Source organism: Homo sapiens, chromosome 14 (assembly GCF_000001405.40).
Source record: "Homo sapiens chromosome 14, GRCh38.p14 Primary Assembly".
Taxonomy (NCBI): Eukaryota; Metazoa; Chordata; class Mammalia; order Primates; family Hominidae; genus Homo; species Homo sapiens.
In genome coordinates, this window is record NC_000014.9 from 69433269 (window position 1) to 69452399 (window position 19131).

Below are 19131 nucleotides of genomic sequence, written 5' to 3' on the forward strand. Positions count from 1 at the left end.
TAGACTTGCATATACCCACCTCCTAGTTATTATATATAATTCTTTTTATATGCTGCTGGATTCAATTTACTAATATTTTATTAAGGATTTTTGTGTTTCTGTTCATGAAGAATACTGGCCTGTGGTTTTCCTTTCTAACAACATCTATGTATGGTTTTATCAGGGTAATGCTGGCCTCTTAGATTTGGGAAGTGTTCCCTTCTCTTTTATATCCTAGAAGAGAATATATAAAATCAATAATATTTCTTCCATAAATATTTGTTAGAATTTATTAGTGAATTTGCAATCTTGGCCTGGCATTTTCTATGATGGAAGGTTATTAACTATGAATTCAGTTTTTTAAATAGATAGATATAGGACTGTTCAAGTTACCTGTTTCTTCTTGAGTATGCTTTGGAAGTTGTGTCTTTCAAGTAATTGATTTATTTCCTCGTACTTTTTAAAGTTTCTTTAGGTGAAGCTCATTGATTTGAGGTTTCTCTTCTCTTCTCTTGTCTTCTCTTCTCTTTGCTTTTCTTTCTTTTCTTCTTTCTTTGAGGCAGGGTCTCACTTTGTCGCCCAGGCTGGGTACAGTGGCACAGTCTCAGCTCACTGCAACCTCCACCTCCCAGGTTCAAGTGATTCCAATGCCTCAGCCTCCCAAGTAGCTGAAACTACAGGCATGTGCCACCAGGCCTAGCTAATTTTTGTATTTTTAGTAGAGACGGGGTTTCACCATGTTGGCCAGGCTGGTCTCAAGCTCCTGGCCTCAAGTAATCCTCCCACCTCGGCCTCCCAAAGTGCTGAGATTACAGGCATGTAATTCTTTTCTTTTCTTTTTTTTTTTTTTTTGCGCGACAGAGTCTTGCTCTGTTGCCCAGACTGGAGTGCAGTGGCATGATCTCGGCACACTGCAACCTCCATCTTCCGGGTTCAAGCAATTCTCCTGTCTGAGCCTCCCAAGTAGCTGGGATTACAGGCGCCCACCACCGCGTCCTGCTAATTTTTGTATTTTTAGTGGAGACAGGGTTTCACCATATTGGTCAGGCTGGTCTTGAACTCCTGACCTCAGGTGATCCACCTGCCTCGGCCTCCCAGAGTACTGGGATTACAGGCGTGAGCCACCACACCTGGCCTATTCTTTTCTAAGAATTTAGGCTAGGCATGGTGGCTCACGCCTGTAATCCCAGTACTTTGGGAAGCTAAGGCAGCTGGATAACTTCAGACCAGGAGTTTGAGATTAACCTGAGCTACATATGAAGACCCTGTATTTACAAAAAAATTTGAAAAATTAGGTGGGCGCAGTGACTACAGAAAAATTAGGTGGGCGCAGTGACACACACACCAGGAGGCTGAGGCTGCAGTGAGCCATGCCATGATTATGCCGCTGCACTCTAGGCTGGGTGAAAGAACAAGACCCTCCCTGAAAAAAGAAAAAAGAATTTAATGCTATAAATTTCTTTCTAAGCACTGCTTTATTTGCATCTCAAAATTTTAGTGTGCTATATTTTTATCTTTATTTAGTTCAAAATATTTTCTAATTTTTCATGCAACTTCCTCTTTTACCCGTGTGTTACTTAGAATTGTGTGATTTAATTTGCAAATTTTTGAGTGGTGGTTTTTAAAATTTGGTTGGTTGCTTGGTTTTGCCCCCGATTCTTTCTGTTACTGATTTCTAGTTTAACTTTATTATGGTAAGAAAATATACTTAGTATGATTTGAAAACTTACAGATTTGTAAATGCTTTTTTAATGGTCCAGAATATGGTTTATCTTGTGGAACGTTCCATGCACACTTGAAAAGAATGTACATTCTCTTGTTCTGTAAATTTCAAGTCAAGTTGTTTGGTCTTCTATATCTTTGCTGATTTTCTGCTTCTATTACTAAGACAGGAGTATTGAAGTCTTCAAATATGATTGTGGATTTATCTGTTTCTCTTCATTTCTATTAGCTTTTGCTTTATGTATGTTGAAGCTCTTTGGTTAGGTACCTACATGTTTAGGAGTGCTATGCCATGGTGAATTGACCTTTTTAATCATTGTGCAATATCCCTCTTTATTCCTGGTAATATTTCTTGTTCACAAGTCTACTTCATCTAATTTTAATATAACCATTCAGTTTTCTCTTGATCAGTGTTTCCATGGTTATATCTTTCCCTTCTATCCTTTTATTTTTAGCCAGTGCCATTCATTTAAAGTGGACTTCTTACAGATGGCATATAGTTGTATCATTTTTTTTAAACTCTAGTTTGACAACCTCTGTCTTCTAATTGATGTGTTTAGACGAGAGATTAGCAAACTTTTTCTGTAAAGCATCAGATAGTAAATATTTTAGACTTTGTGAGCCACGTGATCTTAATTTGTACTTCTTACCTCGGCCATTGTAGCCAGATTCCCTGATTCTTTCCTCTGTCCTTTCCAGTCTACTATTTTCTTTTTTTTTTGAGACAGGGTCTTGCTCTTTTGCCCAGGCTGGAGTGCAGTGGTGTGATCTGGGTTTGCTGCAACCTCTGCCTCCCGGGTTCAAGCGATTCTCCTGCTTCAGCCTCACAAGTAGCTGAGATTACAGGGGTGTGCCACCACGCCTGGCTTATTTTTGCATTTTTAGTAGAGACAGGATTTCACCATGTTGCCCAGGCTGGTCTGGAACTCCTGACCTCAGGTGATCCACCTGCCTTGGCCTCCAAAAGTGCTGGGATTATAGGCGTGAGCCACTGTGCCCAGCCATTTCCAGTCTATTATTGATCTCATCCAGTGAATTTACTACTTTAGATATTATATTTTTCAGTTCTAAAATTTCCAGTTCGTTTCTTTTTATAAGTGTCTGTTTCTCTGCTGAGGATGTTCATTTATTTGAGGAATTTTTACCTTTCGGCCAGGCGCAGTGGCTCACGCCTGTAATCCCAGCACTTTGGGAAGCTCAGGTGGGGGAGGATCACTTGAGTATAGGAGTTCCAGACCAGCCTGGGCAACATAGCAAGACCCTGTCTCTATTTTTTAAAAATTATTTTTCCAAAAGTATGTTATTTTTAGCTTAGAGAACATAGTTAGAGTAGCTGCTTTAAGTAAGTCTTTGAATGTTCCAGTATCTGAGTGATCTGTGGGTTGGGTTGATTGTCTTTTCCCTCGGTAATTGGTCAAAATTTCCTGTTTCTTTGTATGTCAAATAACTTTTGGTTGTATGCTGGACATTTTGAATATGATAACTTGAGAATCTGAGTCCCGTCAAAATCTCTGGAGAATGTTTATTTCTTTTGTTTTAGCAGGAAGTTAACCTATTTAGATTCAGCCTAAAAGTTCTGTTTTGTTTTTGTTTTTTGTTTTTTGGATGATGGTTCTCATTTTAGCTGAGTTTTCAAAGCCTTTACAATGCTGCTTTGGCTATGTCCTGTGTATACTGAGTTCAGGGGTGAGCCTGGGACTTGTGCCGTTTATACATAGGATTAAAGAACCCCTCTCTCAGCTCTTTCCTCTCCAGTGTTCCTTCCACATTGTTTTGCAAACAGACCCCATTTTCCTGGTCCTCTGTCAAGAAAGACAAGGTTTCTCTATAGAGCTGTGGCTGCATGCAACACTACATGTGTTGCCACCACATAGTTCCATGTGACTTGGGCTTCTATCAAAAGAAAGTAACAGCAGAAAAGGCAGAACAGCATAACCAGGTTTCCCCCATACACTTCAGACCACTGGGATCCCTTGCTAGCTCCGCCTCCCGGGTTCATGCCATTCTCCTGCCTCAGCCTCCCGAGTAGCTGGGACTACAGGTGCCTGCCACCACACCCGGCTAATTTTTTGTATTTTTAGTAGAGACGGGGTTTCACCATGTTAGCCAGGATGGTCTTGATCTTCTGACCTCATGATCCACCTGCCTCGGCCTCCCAAAGTGCTGGGATTACAAGCGTGAGCCACCGCGCCCGGCCTGGGATCCCTTTTTCTATTTGCTCTGGCCAGAAAGATGGGGTTTTAACTGCCTTTGTTGCCACCATGCAGTTCTGCAACTGGGGCTGCCTTAAAGGCAGGACCAGGAAAGAAAAAAGAGGAGGTAGAGAAAAAAAGGGGAGACTTTCCTGTACTTCACTACCTCTTAGCAACCTCTTTTCCTGGTCCTTTGGCCGGAAAGACAGGGTTTTTCTAGAAGTTTTTGCTGCCTTGCCTTCACTTGCTGTTGTTTACTTTTTGTAGTCCTGAAGTAGTTGTTTTTTGGTGTGTTTTGTCCAGTTTTTGTTGTAATCAGTGGGTGATTGACGTCAAAATGCTCTTACTGTAACATGGCCAGCATCAGATGTCTCCAACATTCCTTTTAAAATGTAAAATGTTAATACCTCTGTTAAAGAAGTTTTTTTGTTTGTTTTTTTTTTTTTGAGACGGAGTCTCACTCTGTCGCCCAGGCTGGAGTGCAGTGGCACCATCTCAGCTCATTGCACCCTCCACCTCCCGGGTTCAAGCAGTTCTCTGCCTCAGCCTCCCAAGTAACTGGGATTATAGGTGCCTGCCATCATGCCCAGCTAATTTTTGTATTTTTAATAGAGATGGGTTTCACCATCTTGGCCAGGCTGGTCTTGAACTCCTGACCTCGTGATCCACCTGCCTCAACCTCCCAAAGTGCTGGGAAGAGTAACTCAAAAAAATCTGTGAAGTAACTTAACCATGATATTACCTTTCAGCTAAGCTGTCTCCAGATTTTTTACATCTTTCTTCATACTGATGAGTTTAGACATATCATTGTAATTTTGTTTTTGCTGCTTTACTCTCTCTTTTCTTACCCTCTTCCCTTACCCTTTTTTTTTTTTTTGAGACAGAGTTTTGCTCTTGTCACCCAGGCTGGAGTGCAGTGACACCATCTCGGCTCACTGCAACCACCGCCTCCTGGGTTGAAGTGATTCTCCTGCCTCAGCCTCCCTAGTAGTTGGGATTACAGGCACCTGCCACTAGGCATAGCTAATTTTTGTATTTTAGCAGAGACGGGGTTTCACCATGTTGGCCAGGCTGGTCTTGAACAACTGACCTTAGGTGATCCACCTGCCTTGGCCGCCCAAAGTGCTGGGATTACAGGCATGAGCCACCGCGCCTGACCCCCCTCTTTCTTTATTGTAGACCAAAACAACTTTTCTTCGTACTTCAAGAAAGACGTTTGTATACATGTTACTACAGCCTATGGTTTCGTTCTTCTGTGGACCTTATAATTATAATACATTGTTTTCAGAACTCAGTATATCATGTTAACTAAGTGCTCTGATGCTTTAATAAGCATTATTAAATACTAATTAATGTAAAAAGGAACCTCTTACTCTTCTGTAATTATAGCTCTAAAATCACTGGAATTAGATGATTATCAGCTTTCACGTAAAAAAAAACTGTCTATAGAAACAAGTTTTAAGAACTTCAAAGATTGTTGGGTAATGCAGCACTTTACTGTGCAGCCAAAATTTGAAAACATCTCAAAATTCTTTGGACTGTTAGAATTGGTATGTTTAGGAAGGTAGACTATTGGGTCAAAGATGAAAATATAAATGTGATGTATTGTCAAAACTGCTATTGTCAGCCATGGCTCAATGTAGATTATCCCACTCATTTTTATCAGTTCTGTAAGAATGCCATGTATCAGATTCTTTATAGAGGTATGATTAACTGTGGCTTTTTCTGTCACTTTACTCTACATTAAATAAAATATAGGGGGCCCTAGCCAGAACAGTCAGGCAGACAAAAAAGATAGAAGGCATTCACATTGGAAAGGAAGAAGTAAAGTTGTCTCTGTTTTCAGGTGAGATGATCTTATGCATAGAAATACCTAAGGATTCCACACACAAAAAAATTAGAACTAATAAACAAATGCAGTTAAGTTGCAGGATACAAAATCAGCATACAAATATCAGTTGCATTTTTATACACTAACAATGAACTATTTGAAAAAGAAACTATGAAAACAATTTCATTCATAATAGCATCAGAGGGGGAGGGAAAGCATTAGGAGATATACCTAATGTAAATGAGGAGTTAATGGGTGCAGCACACCAACATGGCACATGTATACATATGTAACAAACCTACACGTTGCGCACATGTACCCTAGAACTTAAAGTATAATTTTTAAAAAAATAATAATAGCATCAGAAAATAAAATAAAATAAAATACTTGGGCATAAATTTAACCAAGGAGGTAAAAGATCTATATGCTGAAAACTATAAAACATTGATTTAAAAAATTGGAGAAAATATAAGTAAGGTATTCTGTGTTCATGAATTGGAAGAATTAATATTGTTAAAATATCCGTAGTACCCAAAGTGATCTACAGATTTAATGCAACCCCTATCATAATTCCAGTGGCATTTGCTATGGTTTGGATATTTGTCCCCTCCACATCTAGTGTTGAAACTTGATCCCAGTGTTGGAGGCGGGGCCTGGTGGGAGGTGTTTGGGTCATGAGGGTGGATCCGTCATGCACATATTGGTGCTATCCCCTTGCTGATGAGTGAGTTCTCCCTCTATAATTTAACAAGAGAACTGGTTGTTTAAAAGAGCATGGCACCCCTCCCCTCTCTCGTCTTGTGAAATACTGACTCCTCTTCCCCTTCTGCAATGATTGGAAGCTTCCTGAGATCCTCAGATTCGTGCTTCTTGGACAGCCTGCAGAACTGTAAGCCAAATAAACCTTAATAGAACGATCCTAAAATTCATATGTAACCACAAAAGGCCCTGAAGCCGGGGTAATTTATAAAGGTCAATTAAAGAGGTTTAGTTGACTCACAGTTCAGCATGGCTGGGGAGGCCTCAGGAAACTTACAATCGTGGCGGAAAGCAAAGGGGAAGCAAGGCACCTTCTTCACAAGGCCGCGGGAAGGAGAAGTGCTAAATGAAGAGGGGAAGGGCCCCTTAAAAACCATCAGATCTTGCAAGAACTCACCATGTAGTACACCTGTAAACCCAGCTACTCGGGAGGCTGAAGCATGAGAACCACTTGAACCCTGGAGGCACAGGGTTGCAGTGAGCCGATATCATGCCACTGCACTCCAACCTGGGTACAGAGTGAGACTCTGTCTCAAAAACATAAGAATAGTGTCAGGCACGGTGGCTCAAGCCTGTAACCCCAGCACTTTGGGAGGTCAAGGTGGGCGGATCACTTGAGCTCAGGAGTTTGAGACCAGCCTGGGCAACATGGCAAAACTACATCTCCACAAAAACAATATAAAAATTAGCAGGACTTGGTAGCTCACATCTGTAGTCCAGATTCTTGGGGGACTGAGGTAGGAGGATGACTTCAGTCCAGGAAATGGAGGTTACTGTAAGCTGAGATTGCACCACTGTAGTCTAGTCTGGGTGAAAGGGCCATACCTGTCTCAAAAAGAAAGAAAGAGAGAGAGACAGAGAAAGAAACAGAAGAGTACATTGTAACTGTTGTAAGGTTGGATATTATTTTGTGAAACTGTTTTGTTTTGTTTTGTTTTTTTGAGACAGAGTCTCCCTCTGTTGCCAGGCTGGAAGGCAGTGGCGTGATCTCGGCTCACTGCAACCTCCGACTCCCTGGTTCAAGCGATTCTCCTGCCTCAGCCTCCTGAGTAGCTGGGATTACAGGCACGCGCCACCGTGCCCAGCTAGTTTTTGTATTTTTAGTAGAGACGGGGATTCACCATGTTGGCCTTGATCTCCTGGCCTCGTGATCTGCCCCCCTTGGCCTCCCAAAGTACTACGATTACAGGCATGAGCCATTGCACCTGGCCTGTTTTGTTTTGTTTTTAAGAGACAGGATCTCTAGGCTGGACACAGTGGCTCATACTTGTAATCCACCACTTTGGGAGGTCAAGGTGGGAGGATCACCTGAGCCCCAGATTTCAAGACCAGCCTAGGCAACATAGGGAGACCACATTTCTACAAAAAAATTTTCAAATTAGCTGGTTATGGTGGTACTTGCCTGTGGTTTCCCAGTTACTTGGGAGGCTGAGGTAGGAGGATTGCTTGAGCCCGGGAGGTCGAGGGTGCAGTGAGCCATAATTGCACCACTGCTGTACTCCAGCCTGGGTGAAAGATGAGACCTTGTCTCAATTTTTAAAGAAGGCTTAAACTGCTTAATCTGATTATAAATGATAAATGTCTAGTATGTTATTCTCTATTCATGAAATATAGCAAAGATAAGCTTTTTGGCCTTTTGAAGCATTTATGTTTTAAATGACAAATATGTTACTGTAAACTGGGATTATCAGCTGGCCAGGTATCATTTACTGCAGTTCAGAGTCTCCCAACCTCCATATTTCTAGAACTGAATTTAGACTGAAGGATGTGCCTCTTAAACTGCTCTGCCCTTTTGGTTTCTTGCTGGCAATTGTCTGCTGATATTTTATAAAGCTAAAAATTTTCTACTCAATTTGTTCCTTATTTTACATTTTTATCTCAGCCTAGGTATAAACTAGATGAATTTGATTGCAATTATTTTCATTGTTACTGCTCTTCATTTGCCTATTTTCATCAGAAAAAAACAGTGTATTTTCTGGTGAGATTGGCATGAATTTCTCAGATAAAGGAATATTTGGGGATGGTGTCCCTTTGGGAATATGATTGCTTTCTTGCATGGTGATTTGCTTCCACTTCCCAGGTGTTGAGAATAATAGGCAGTCAGAAGGTCTGCATGCCAAAGGCAGAAGACATTTGGGAATTTTTTCATCATGAACTTTAAGTTGAAGGAGTTAATGATTGGCTGGATTACAATATAAAAAGTGGATGTCTTTACAGTAAAGTAAGTAGAGCTTGAAATACAAAGAATGGAAACTCCTACATGAAAATGTTTTTAGGGGAAAAACATATTTTCTCTTTATGGTTTATTCTGCTCTAGGAAAACACCACCAAGCAAGTGAAACACATAATGTGATTGCATCAGACAAAGCAGCAGAAAAATCAGTTGTCCATGAACATGAGCACAGCCACGACCACACACAGCTGCATGCCTATATTGGTGTTTCCCTCGTTCTGGGCTTCGTTTTCATGTTGCTGGTGGACCAGATTGGTAACTCCCATGTGCATTCTACTGACGGTGAGTGGCTCCAAGGCTTTCTGGGCAGTGCAATACATTTGCAGTTGAGAAAGTTACAAACGATCAAATATTTCAGTCTGTATCAGTGGCCATATTTAGTGCTAAAACTCTTGTCTTCCTTGGGTTCTAGTGAACATTTAACTAAGTGGGGAGAGCTAGTGAGTTGTGGCATGTGGCGCAAAGAAGTGTTTATTGGTTTATTACTTTGCTTGTCTTAAAGTTGTCACATTTGGTTGAGAGTCTAGGGCAGAAGTTCTTAACTTAGTTTTTTGCTGTGGAGCCCTTAGGCAGTCTAAAGACTGTGGACCTTTTATTGGAATATTGTTTTTAAATGTATAAAACATAGTACATAAGATCAAAGAGAAAACCACCTTTGTTGAAATACAGTTACTAAAACATCAGAACAAATTTGTGATATAGTAATGTATGTCTTTATCAGTGCATTAAATAATGAGATAATACATTTAAATCCTAAACAAGTTAGAGTTGAATTTTATTTTCTAGGACATTAGTATGCTAGCTATTACATAATAATATGCTTGGCTTAAGAACATTAAATTATGAGGTAGTCTGTAACAAGGCAACATGTATGTCAAGTTAAACATCTAGTTGATTTTGGGTTTTTGTTTTGATGGTTATTGGTGTAGAAAATCTTGATTTACAAAGGTATTTTCTTACAAATGTACCTAAACACATTTGTAGCTTGCTTTTTAAGGAATCATAAGCTTCTCTAAAGGACAACTAGAATTCCCCAAGACTTTTCAAATTTGACTCCAGTCATAGTAACTGTTTTGTTTTAAGATCAATGAATTTATCTTTGGCTAGGTCAACATTTTTCATACGATTTATATTAATAAAAAAGGATTCTGATACATGATACACTTCGATCCTGTGGTGATAGAAATAAATTTGAGAGTTATAAAACTTCTCCAGGGATTGATGTGTAGACATATTTTTTCAGATATGTCAGCAGGGAATTTTGCAGATAGGAAATATTGGAAAGCAGCATAAGTATCTTGGTCCCCAATGGGAGAGCCTTGTGACTATCACTGTTTGGTGGCTGAGTGACTGTTAGATGCAGAGCTACTTGATAGTTGCCCAGCTCCATCACATGAGCATCTGCAGACAGGAAAGCTGTAATCATGCAGTATGGCAGCAGTTCTATAAGTCCTTAATTTAAAGTAGTGATGAGTGAAAGCGATAATTTAAAGATAATCTACAACTGTAAAATAACCTGATTAGTCTGATTTCTACTGGCAGTAAAGATAGTGCTGATATTACTTGTGGTTTATTGTCTGCATTCATAATTAAAGGAAATGAGGGGGCAGTCACCATGACTCACCTGTAATCCTAGCACTTTGGGAGGCCAAGATGGGCGGATCCTTTTGAGTTCAGGAGTTTGAGACCAGCCTGGGCAACATGGCAAAACTCCATCTCTACAAAAAATACAATAATTAGCTGAGCATAGTGGTACGCACCTGGAGTCCCTGCTACTGGGGGACTGAGGCGGGAGGAACGCTTGAGCCCAGGAGGTTGAGGCTGCAGTGAGCTGAGATCACGCCACTGCACTCCAGCCTGGGTGACAAAGTGAGACCCTGTCTCAAAAATAATAATGATAATAAAAATAAAGGAAATGTGGCCAAGCGTGGTGGCTCATGCCTGTAATCCCAGCACTTTGAGAGGCTGAGGGGGAAGGTTCACTTGAGACCAGGAGTTCAAGATCAGCCTGGGAGACATGGTGAGACCCCATCTCTACGAAAAAAAAATAAATTACCCAAGCATGATGAGGCATGCCTGTAGTCGCAGCTACTCAGGAGGCTTAGGTGGTAAGATCACTTGAGCCCAGAAGGTTGAGACTACATTGAGCCACGATCACACCACTGCACTCCAGTTCAGCCTGAGCAAGAGAACAAGATCCCATCTCAAAAAAAATAAAGACAAAGGAAATGCTAAATTTCAGAGGTTAGTAAAAATAAAAACGCATTTTTTTCAAGTTAAAGTCACAGACATCCCCTGAATTCTACCTGTACTCACCTCTATAGACCCCAGGCTAAGAATCTTTGGTCGACAGAAAAATCTGCAGAAAAGCAGACAAAAGACATGAACAGATAATCGCAATAAGATATTAAAATGGCCCTTAAACTTATGAAAAGATGTTCAATTTCACTTGAATACAAGTCAAAGCTATGCTGAGATACCGTTTCTTACCTGTCAGGCAAAAATTCAGAAGCTTAACAATACACCCGATTGGCAAAGCTGTGATAGAATAGGCACTCATATATTGGGGTGGCAATGCAAAATGGTACAATGCCCATGGAGAGGAATTTGGCAGTATCTTACAAAACTACATATATGTTTACCCTTTGAAATCCCACTTCTAGGGATTTACTCAAATACAGCTCCAATATGAAAATACATATGCACAAGATTATTCAATGCAGCATTATTTATCATTGGAAAATACTTAAATGTTCAGTCATGGAGATTGGCTGAATGAACTATGGTATGTACACATAATGGAGTACTATGTAGCTGTAGAAAAGAATAAAGATTCAGGCAGAGCGCAGTGGCTCACCCCTTTAATCCCAGCATTTTGAGAGGCTGAGGTAGGATGATTACTTGAAACTGGAGTTCAAGGCTGCAGTGAGCTATGATCGCATAACTGCACTCCAGCCTGGGAGACAATGCGAAACCCTGTCGCTCTAAAAAAAATAATAATAAAAGAATAAAGATTCAGGTATCTGTGAACTGATAGGGAGAGATTTCCAGGAGGTATTGTTAAATGGAAAAAAAAAAGCAAAAAATGTAATGATCATCTAGCATATACTATGTTTTATGTAAGAAAGAAGGGGAAATAAGAAAAACATACAGTTGACCTTTGAACAATATGAGTTTGAACTGTGTGAGTCCATTTATACATGGATTTTCTTTCAATAAAAGTTACACTGAGTGTGGCTGCCTCTCCTGCCCCCCTTCCACCTCCTTCACCTCTTCTACCTCTGCCACCCCTGAGACAGCAAGACCAACCCCTCCTCTTCCTCCTCATCCTCCTCAGCCTACTCAATGTGAAGATGATGAGGATGAAAACCTTTATGATGATCCACTTCCACTTAATAGTAAATATATTTTCTCTTTCTTATGATTTTTAAATAACATTTTCTTTTACCTAGCTTACTTTTTTGTAAAAATACAGTATTAATACATATAACAAATAAAATACGTGTTAATCGACTTTGTTATCATTAAGACTTCTGATCAACAGTAGGCTATTAGTGGTTAAGTTTTTGGGGAGTGAAAAGTTGTATGTGGATTTTTGACTGTGTAGGGGGTCAACACTCCAACATCCACATTGTTCAGTGCAGTGGTCAAGTGTATCTACTTACCTTTACAAAAAAGAAACAGAAGAAGAACTGGCTAGAAAACAAAAGACATTTATTAACTGCATGGGGTGAGGTGGAGGAGTTGAGAGGGCAAAAGGGTTTTGGGAGCACATGATATTCCCCTGAGCATGCCTTTTTGGTATAATTCTGACTTTTGGAAACATGTTAATGTTCTACATATTCAAAAAATAGAATGAAACCAATATGGATGGGAGCGCTAACTGAAACAGATGAATTGTATTTCAAGTGAATAATACAATCACACTGAAGGGATTTAACAAAAACTAATTCAAGTAAATTATGAATGTAGTATTTGACTACATATGTTTAGTCTTGGGTAGAGTTGGGAGAAAACCATAAACAAATACTGAACTCGTTGTTGTTGTTGTTGTTGTTGTTGTTTGTAATGGAATGGGCAAAACAGTTCTGAAGCTGCTTTAGATGTTTTATAGGATTGAGTCAATGGGTCATGTTGATGTTGGTGGAGTCAGGGTTCTAAGTGTGGAAGAAGGAACACACAAGTATGGAGTGGAGGAAGGCAAGAAAGAACCCCTATAGGGACTTATTGGAATTGGAAGTATTGGACTCGGGATTTCTAAATGTATTTGGTTTTGTATATATATTTATATATACATATATATATATATATGTCCTAGCTCTGTCTGAAGATGGGGCCTAGAAATAAAGACATCCCACTAGCATGAGCAAGCCAGGGCCTTTCAGAGAAGACTCAGGGCTGATTCCAGGACAGGGGCAGGGTAAGTACAAGTGAGCTTGGAACATCTAGAACTGAAAAAAACAGAAGGAAGGAAGAAGATGGGAGCATGTCATAGGATATAGGAACCCTCTTAAAAGGGTTCCCACTGGCCACATGTGGGATAAGTTGAGCACCAACATAATTAAGAACAGTAATAAAGCATAAACCATTCAAAAAATGGGAATCTGGCTGGGCGCGGTGGCTCACACCTGTAATCCCAGCACTTTGGGAGGCCTAGGCGGGTGCATCACCTGAGGTCAGGAGTTCAAGACCAGCCTGGCCAACATGGTGAAACCCCATCTCTACTAAAAATACAAAAATTAGCCAGGTATGGTGGCACACGCCTGTAATCCCAGCTACTGGGGAAGCTGAGACAGGAGAATTGCTTGAACCCAGGAGGCAGAGGTTGCAGTGAGCCAAGATTGTGCCATTGCACTCCAGCCTGGGAGACAAGAACTAAACTCTGTCTCAAAAAAAAAAAAAAAAGAAAAAGAAAAAAAAATGGGAATCCATGAGCCCATCTGTGATATATATATATATATATAGAGAGAGAGAGAGAGAGAGCGAGAGAGAGAGAGAGAGCACTTGCTTATAGTAGAATGCTCCAATTATTAAATGTAGAAAGAGTGCTGGAGTTGGAAAAATACTCATTTTTGCAACCCTCCTTAAAGGTTGGCTCAGGCACGCATCATCAATGAATGTTAAATGTAGGGGGCAAATTTTTATTTCCTTATTGGCTTCAAGGGGAAAGAAGTAACTAAATGAAGAAATCAGATGATACCTTGATCGGATAGTCAAAATTAAGGTCACAAGCATTCTGCTTTTGATATGACCAAGTAAGCTCTCAGATCAGCCTCCTTACAGGTAACTAAAAATGCTGGACAGAATTCAAAAAACCAGTGGAGAGCAACCCAAAGCAAGCAAATTCTGGAAGGGAGTCAACACTTAGAACAGGGTGCATTTCCTATTTTTACTGCTTTCAGTAGTCAGCCCCCTGTGGGACAGCTAAAACTCTGATAGAAAACTCAGTCTTTCTGGACTGAAGAACCAGAGGACAGAGTTCAGGAGTTTCAGTGGTTACAGCACTGAAAATAAGGGAGAATCCTAGAACGAAGAGAAACTCAGCCCCAAATTCTGTATATGAACTGCCTCGGTCTCCAGCTGACCCTGAACCATGCTTGGCAGACTCCAGGTAGCTCAGCTGAAGATAATTATGAACTAAACTGGGCTGGATGCAGTGGCTCATGCCTGTAATCCCAGGACTTTGGGAGGCCAAGGTGGGTGGATGGCTTGAGCCCAGAAGTTTGAGACCAGCCTGGGCAACATGTCAAAACCTTTTTTCTACAAAAAAATACAAAAATTAGCTGGTCGTGGTGACCTGCGCTTGTACTCCCAGCTACTTAGGAGACTGAGGTGGGAGGGTAGCTTGAGACCAGGACAGGGAGGTTACAGTGAGCCAATATTGTGCCACTGTATTCTAGCCTGGGCAACAGAGGGAGGCCCTGTCTCCAAAAAAAAAAAAAAAAAGTGATGGGGCACAGTCACTCAGGCTTGTAATCCCAGCACTTTGGGAGGCCGAGGCAGGTGGATCACAAGGCCAGGAGATCGAGACCATCCTGGCTAACACGGTGAAACCTCGTCTCTACTAAAAATACAAAAAAATTAGCCAGGCGTGTTGGCGGGCGTCTGTAGTCCCAGCTACTCGGGAGGCTGAGGCAGGAGAATGGCGTGAACATGGGAGGCGGAGCTTGCAGTGAGCCGAGGTCACGCCACTGCACTCCAGCCTGGGCAACAAAGTGAGACTCTGTCTCAAAAAAAAAAAAAAAAAAAGCACAAAAAAAAATTAAACTGAAAATTGAGCAGCAACCCAAAAGACATTTTGCAGTTTTAATCCAACCAAGCTACTTAAAGCAAAACAAACAAAAAAGTCACTCTTTGGAGGAATATAACAAAATCTGACTATCCATGAGATAATGTTGGCAATGTCCAGGATATAATTCAGAATTAACACCACCAGTGAGCAGCAGATGTACATCCTGCACCTCTAGATGTGATACCCGGAGAAGCATCATCACCATTATAACATTTCATCCAAGAACCCGTAGTCTTAAGGACATACACACAAAAGTTTTTATTACTAAAAAAACAAGAAAGGAGGAGAATATATTATCCAAAAATGGCAATGTCATAAAAGTCAAAGCGAGAGGAAATGTTCCAGATTAAAGGAGACTAAAGAGTTACAAGTAAGTGAAATGTGTGATTCTAGACTGGATCCTTCCTGGAAAGGAAACATGCCCTGAAGTAAGTACTTTATTGAGCAGTTGACAAAATTACAATATGCAAGAAAATTAGAAAAAGTGTCAGTGTTGATAACTGTACTGTGATGATGTAAGAAAATATCTTTTCTCTTAGAAAATACACATTGAAGCATCTGGGGATAAAGGGTTATTGATGTGTGCAACTTACTTTTAAATGTTAGAGAAAAAGAATGTGTGTGTGTACAGAGAGCGTGAGTATAAATGATGAAGCAAATGAGGCAAAATGTTAATCAATATATTGGTCCATCTGAGAAAAGGATGTATGAATTTTTTTTTACTATTCTTGCAACTTTACTGAAGGTTTAAAATTATTTCCAAATTAGAGTTTAAAAAAATTATGGGAGTAAGCTTAAAACAAAACAAAATAATTTTGGTCTAGAACGGTTTTTAATCTCCTTGTATTTACTATGTGTTAAATTTTTTTCCATAGAGTTATATTTTTTAATAAAATCTTATCTTGGAAAGTTGATGTAAGAATAAATGGTTTTATTGTGCCTTACTCCAAACAGCAAATGAGAAGCACTGTTGGGTGGTATTGGACTCTGGCTGTATCACACAGTTGGCCACACTGGGCTCCAAGACATTTTTCTTGTGATTCTTGTCAGTTTCAATTTAACGTAGGCTGAGCATGGTGACTCACGCCTGTAATCCCAAGCGATTTGGGAGGCCAAGACGGGAAGATTGCTTCAGCCCAGGAGTTTGAGACCAGCCTAGGCAACAAAGCGAGACGCCGTCTCTACAAAAATCTTAAAAATTAGCTGGGCATGGTGGCATGTGCCTGTAATCCCAGTTACTTGGGAGGCTGAGATGGGAGGATTGCTTGAGCCCAGGAATTCGAGACTGCAGTAAGCTATGATTGTGCTACTGTACTTCAGCCTGAGTGACAGAGGAAGACCCTGTGTCTTAAAAAAAGAGAGAGAAAAAGAAACAAGGATGGTCGAATTTCACACTTGTGAACCTATAGTTCAGGGAGTTGTAAATTTCTCCTACCTGACCTTATTCATGGTCAGGACAGTGTTGTGAGTTCAAGAACAGAGAGTAGCTGCAGAAAGTAATGACCTTTTCTGTGTTCTCTGATCCTGGGAAGGGGCAAGTGGCTCTAGTTTCCCTCTGACATCCTGCTCTGTGTGTGTGTGTGTGTGTATACACATGTGTGAGTGTTTGCTTATGCAAGAAAGGAAGGGGGCTGGGCACGGTGGCTCACACCTGTAATCCCAGCACTTTGGGAGGCCGAGGCGGGTGAATCATGAGGTCAGGGGTTCGAGACCAGCCTGGCCAACATAGTGAAACCCCGTCTCTACTAAAAATACAAAAAAATTAGCTGGGCGCAGTGGCGGGCACCTGTAATCTCAGCTACTTGGTAGGCTGAGGCAACAAGAATCGCTTGAACCTGGGAGACAGAGGTTTCAGTGAGCCAAGATCACGCCACTGCGCTCCAGCCCGGGTGACCATGCAAGATTCCATCTCAAAATAAAAAAAAAAGGAAGAAAGGAAGGAAGAGGACCGAGCTGGGGCAAAGCTAGCCTTCTCCCAGGGTATCTTTCTTCCATACCATTCTACTTTCTCAGAATCCTTGATCTGCCAAAGAGAAATTTGGAAAATGATGAAATGGCCACTTCACTTCTATGTGTTTTGAAACATGTATGTAAATGTAAACATGTTAAATATGTGAAATAAAATTTTTCCTCCTCAGTAAGTTGAAAGAAATTTCCATTTAACGAATGATTTTTTAAAAAAAACCTGATTCTAAAGATATATATGGTGATTGTCAGGCCAGTCACAATGGTGCACGCCTGTAATCCCAGCACTTTGGGAGGCCAAAGTGGGAAGATGGCTTGAGGTCAGGAGTTTGAGACCAGCCTGGACAACACAGCAAGACCCATCTCTACAAAAAAGTACTTTAAAAATTAGCCAGGCATAGTGGCACTTGCCTGTAATCACAGCTACTCAGGTGGCTGAGATGCGAGGGAGAATCATTTCAGTTCGAGGCTGCAGTGAGCTGTGATCGCACCACTTCACTCCAGCCTGGGCAACAAGCAAGACTCTGTCTCTAAAAAAATAAAAATAAAATGTGTGGGCGCAGTAGTAGCCAGTAATCCTATACAGAGAGTTAAATGTAGCTTGTGTTCCATTATTCTTCTTCCTGTTTTATCTCTGAAGTCATTATTTTTGCTGGCTTTCGTGTCTGATGACCTGGTTTTACCTATTTTCTGCAGAGTTTTATGTATTATAAAATGTCAATAAAATGTATTTATTAAATTTATGCTAAACTGCAGTCTTTATAGGTTTATAAAAACTTTCTAATTTTAAAGCCTCTAATTGTTTAAGATCCTAAGTATAACTGGATGATAAGCCTTTGTATAAAAAAAGGCCAGAGCCAGCTTGCACACAGTGTAATTTGACTGTTCCTTCCAGTTCAGGGTAGCATTGAGCTATTTGCTGGCGCAGAGTGATTAGGGTCTTTAGCTTCCCTTCTTTGCAGTGTTTTAATAGGAAAATATCATTTATTAATAAGAGGTAATATCTTACTTTACTTGTATACTTTTTCCATTGTAAACCCCTTCCTTTTGTATGCTGGACTCCTAAGAAGATTAAATCCCCTGTAACTTACTTGACTGATGTTCATCTGTCATTTTACCTGGCATTTTGATGTCCCCATCTTTTAACTTTATTTACTTGTATGTTTCCTACAAGAGCAGTAACATCTTTATTTAATACACATAAATGCTTTTTTCACTCTTCAGCAAGGATTTATTAAGTAACTATTGGGTGCCTAGTGCTGTGCTACATTCTGTCAGACATGTTAAAGGAAAAGAGAGGTAGAAAATTTAATGCTTTAGCATTTACAGTCCATCTGGGGATAGAAAACATTCAAGTGAAAATGGCTTTGTATATCTGAGGTGGTGTATAGAGGAACCTTTGAAGACTGCCTGCATAGATCACTAGGTCTAGGCAAGGGGAGAGTTGCTTTGAGCTGGAATCAATTTTTTAAATTTATTTTTAATTTTTCTTGAGACAAGGTCTTGCTCTGTCACCCGGGCTGGAGTCCAGTGGCATGAGCATAGCTTGTTGCAGCCTTAAACTCCTAGGCACAAGTGATCCTTCCACCTTAACCTCCTAGATACCTGGGACTACAGGCATGCACCACCACACTTGGCTAAATTTTAAAAATTTTGTAGAGATAGGGTCTTGTGATGTTGCCCAGGCTGGTCTCAAACTCCTGGCCTCAAGTGATCCTCCCCCATCGACCTCCCAGACTGCTGAGATTACAGGCATGAGCCACCATGCTTAGTCTTCAATTTTTTATTCTTTCTTGAGGGAAGTGGTTCTGTAGTTAGACTTTGATTGATGTCCAAGTTTTGGCTTAACAAGCTGAGAAGTTCAGTATGTGCCAAGAATTACAGGTGAGGAGACTTGGGGAAAGGAGAATAAGAAGGTTTTGTTCGATGGTGTTAAGCAAACTGGTTTAACTAGACTGGACATTGAGAAATAAGTTGGAACTAGTTGATAAAGGGCTTAAGAACCTATCTAATATAGCAGTTTGCCCTGAATTTGAAAAGCAGCAGATTCTTAAATGGTAACTGACACATCATAAGGGTGGTGGGTTTTTTGTTTGTTTGTTTTTGAGACGGAGTTTCACTCTTGTTGCCCAGGCTGGAGGGCAATGGCACAATCTCG

At 40.5% G+C, this 19131-nt stretch overlaps 1 protein-coding gene across 8 annotated transcripts in view; it reads left to right on the top strand.

Annotated features, from left to right (window-relative positions):
• Positions 1-19131, top strand: part of SLC39A9 (solute carrier family 39 member 9) — a 64007-nt gene that overhangs the window by 34885 nt on the left and 9991 nt on the right. For 6 of the 8 annotated variants that reach the window (NM_001252151.2, XM_024449648.2, XM_047431550.1 and 3 more), the window contains exon 3: positions 8801-8998. The exons of 1 other annotated variant lie outside the window; for it this stretch is intronic. In NM_001252151.2, coding sequence (NP_001239080.1) covers positions 8950-8998 — 49 coding nt within the window. In that variant the 5' untranslated portion in view covers positions 8801-8949. Of the gene's footprint in view, positions 1-8563; positions 8705-8800; positions 8999-19131 lie in introns of all 8 variants that reach the window. One more of the 8 variants, NM_001252152.2, reaches the window with a different exon arrangement.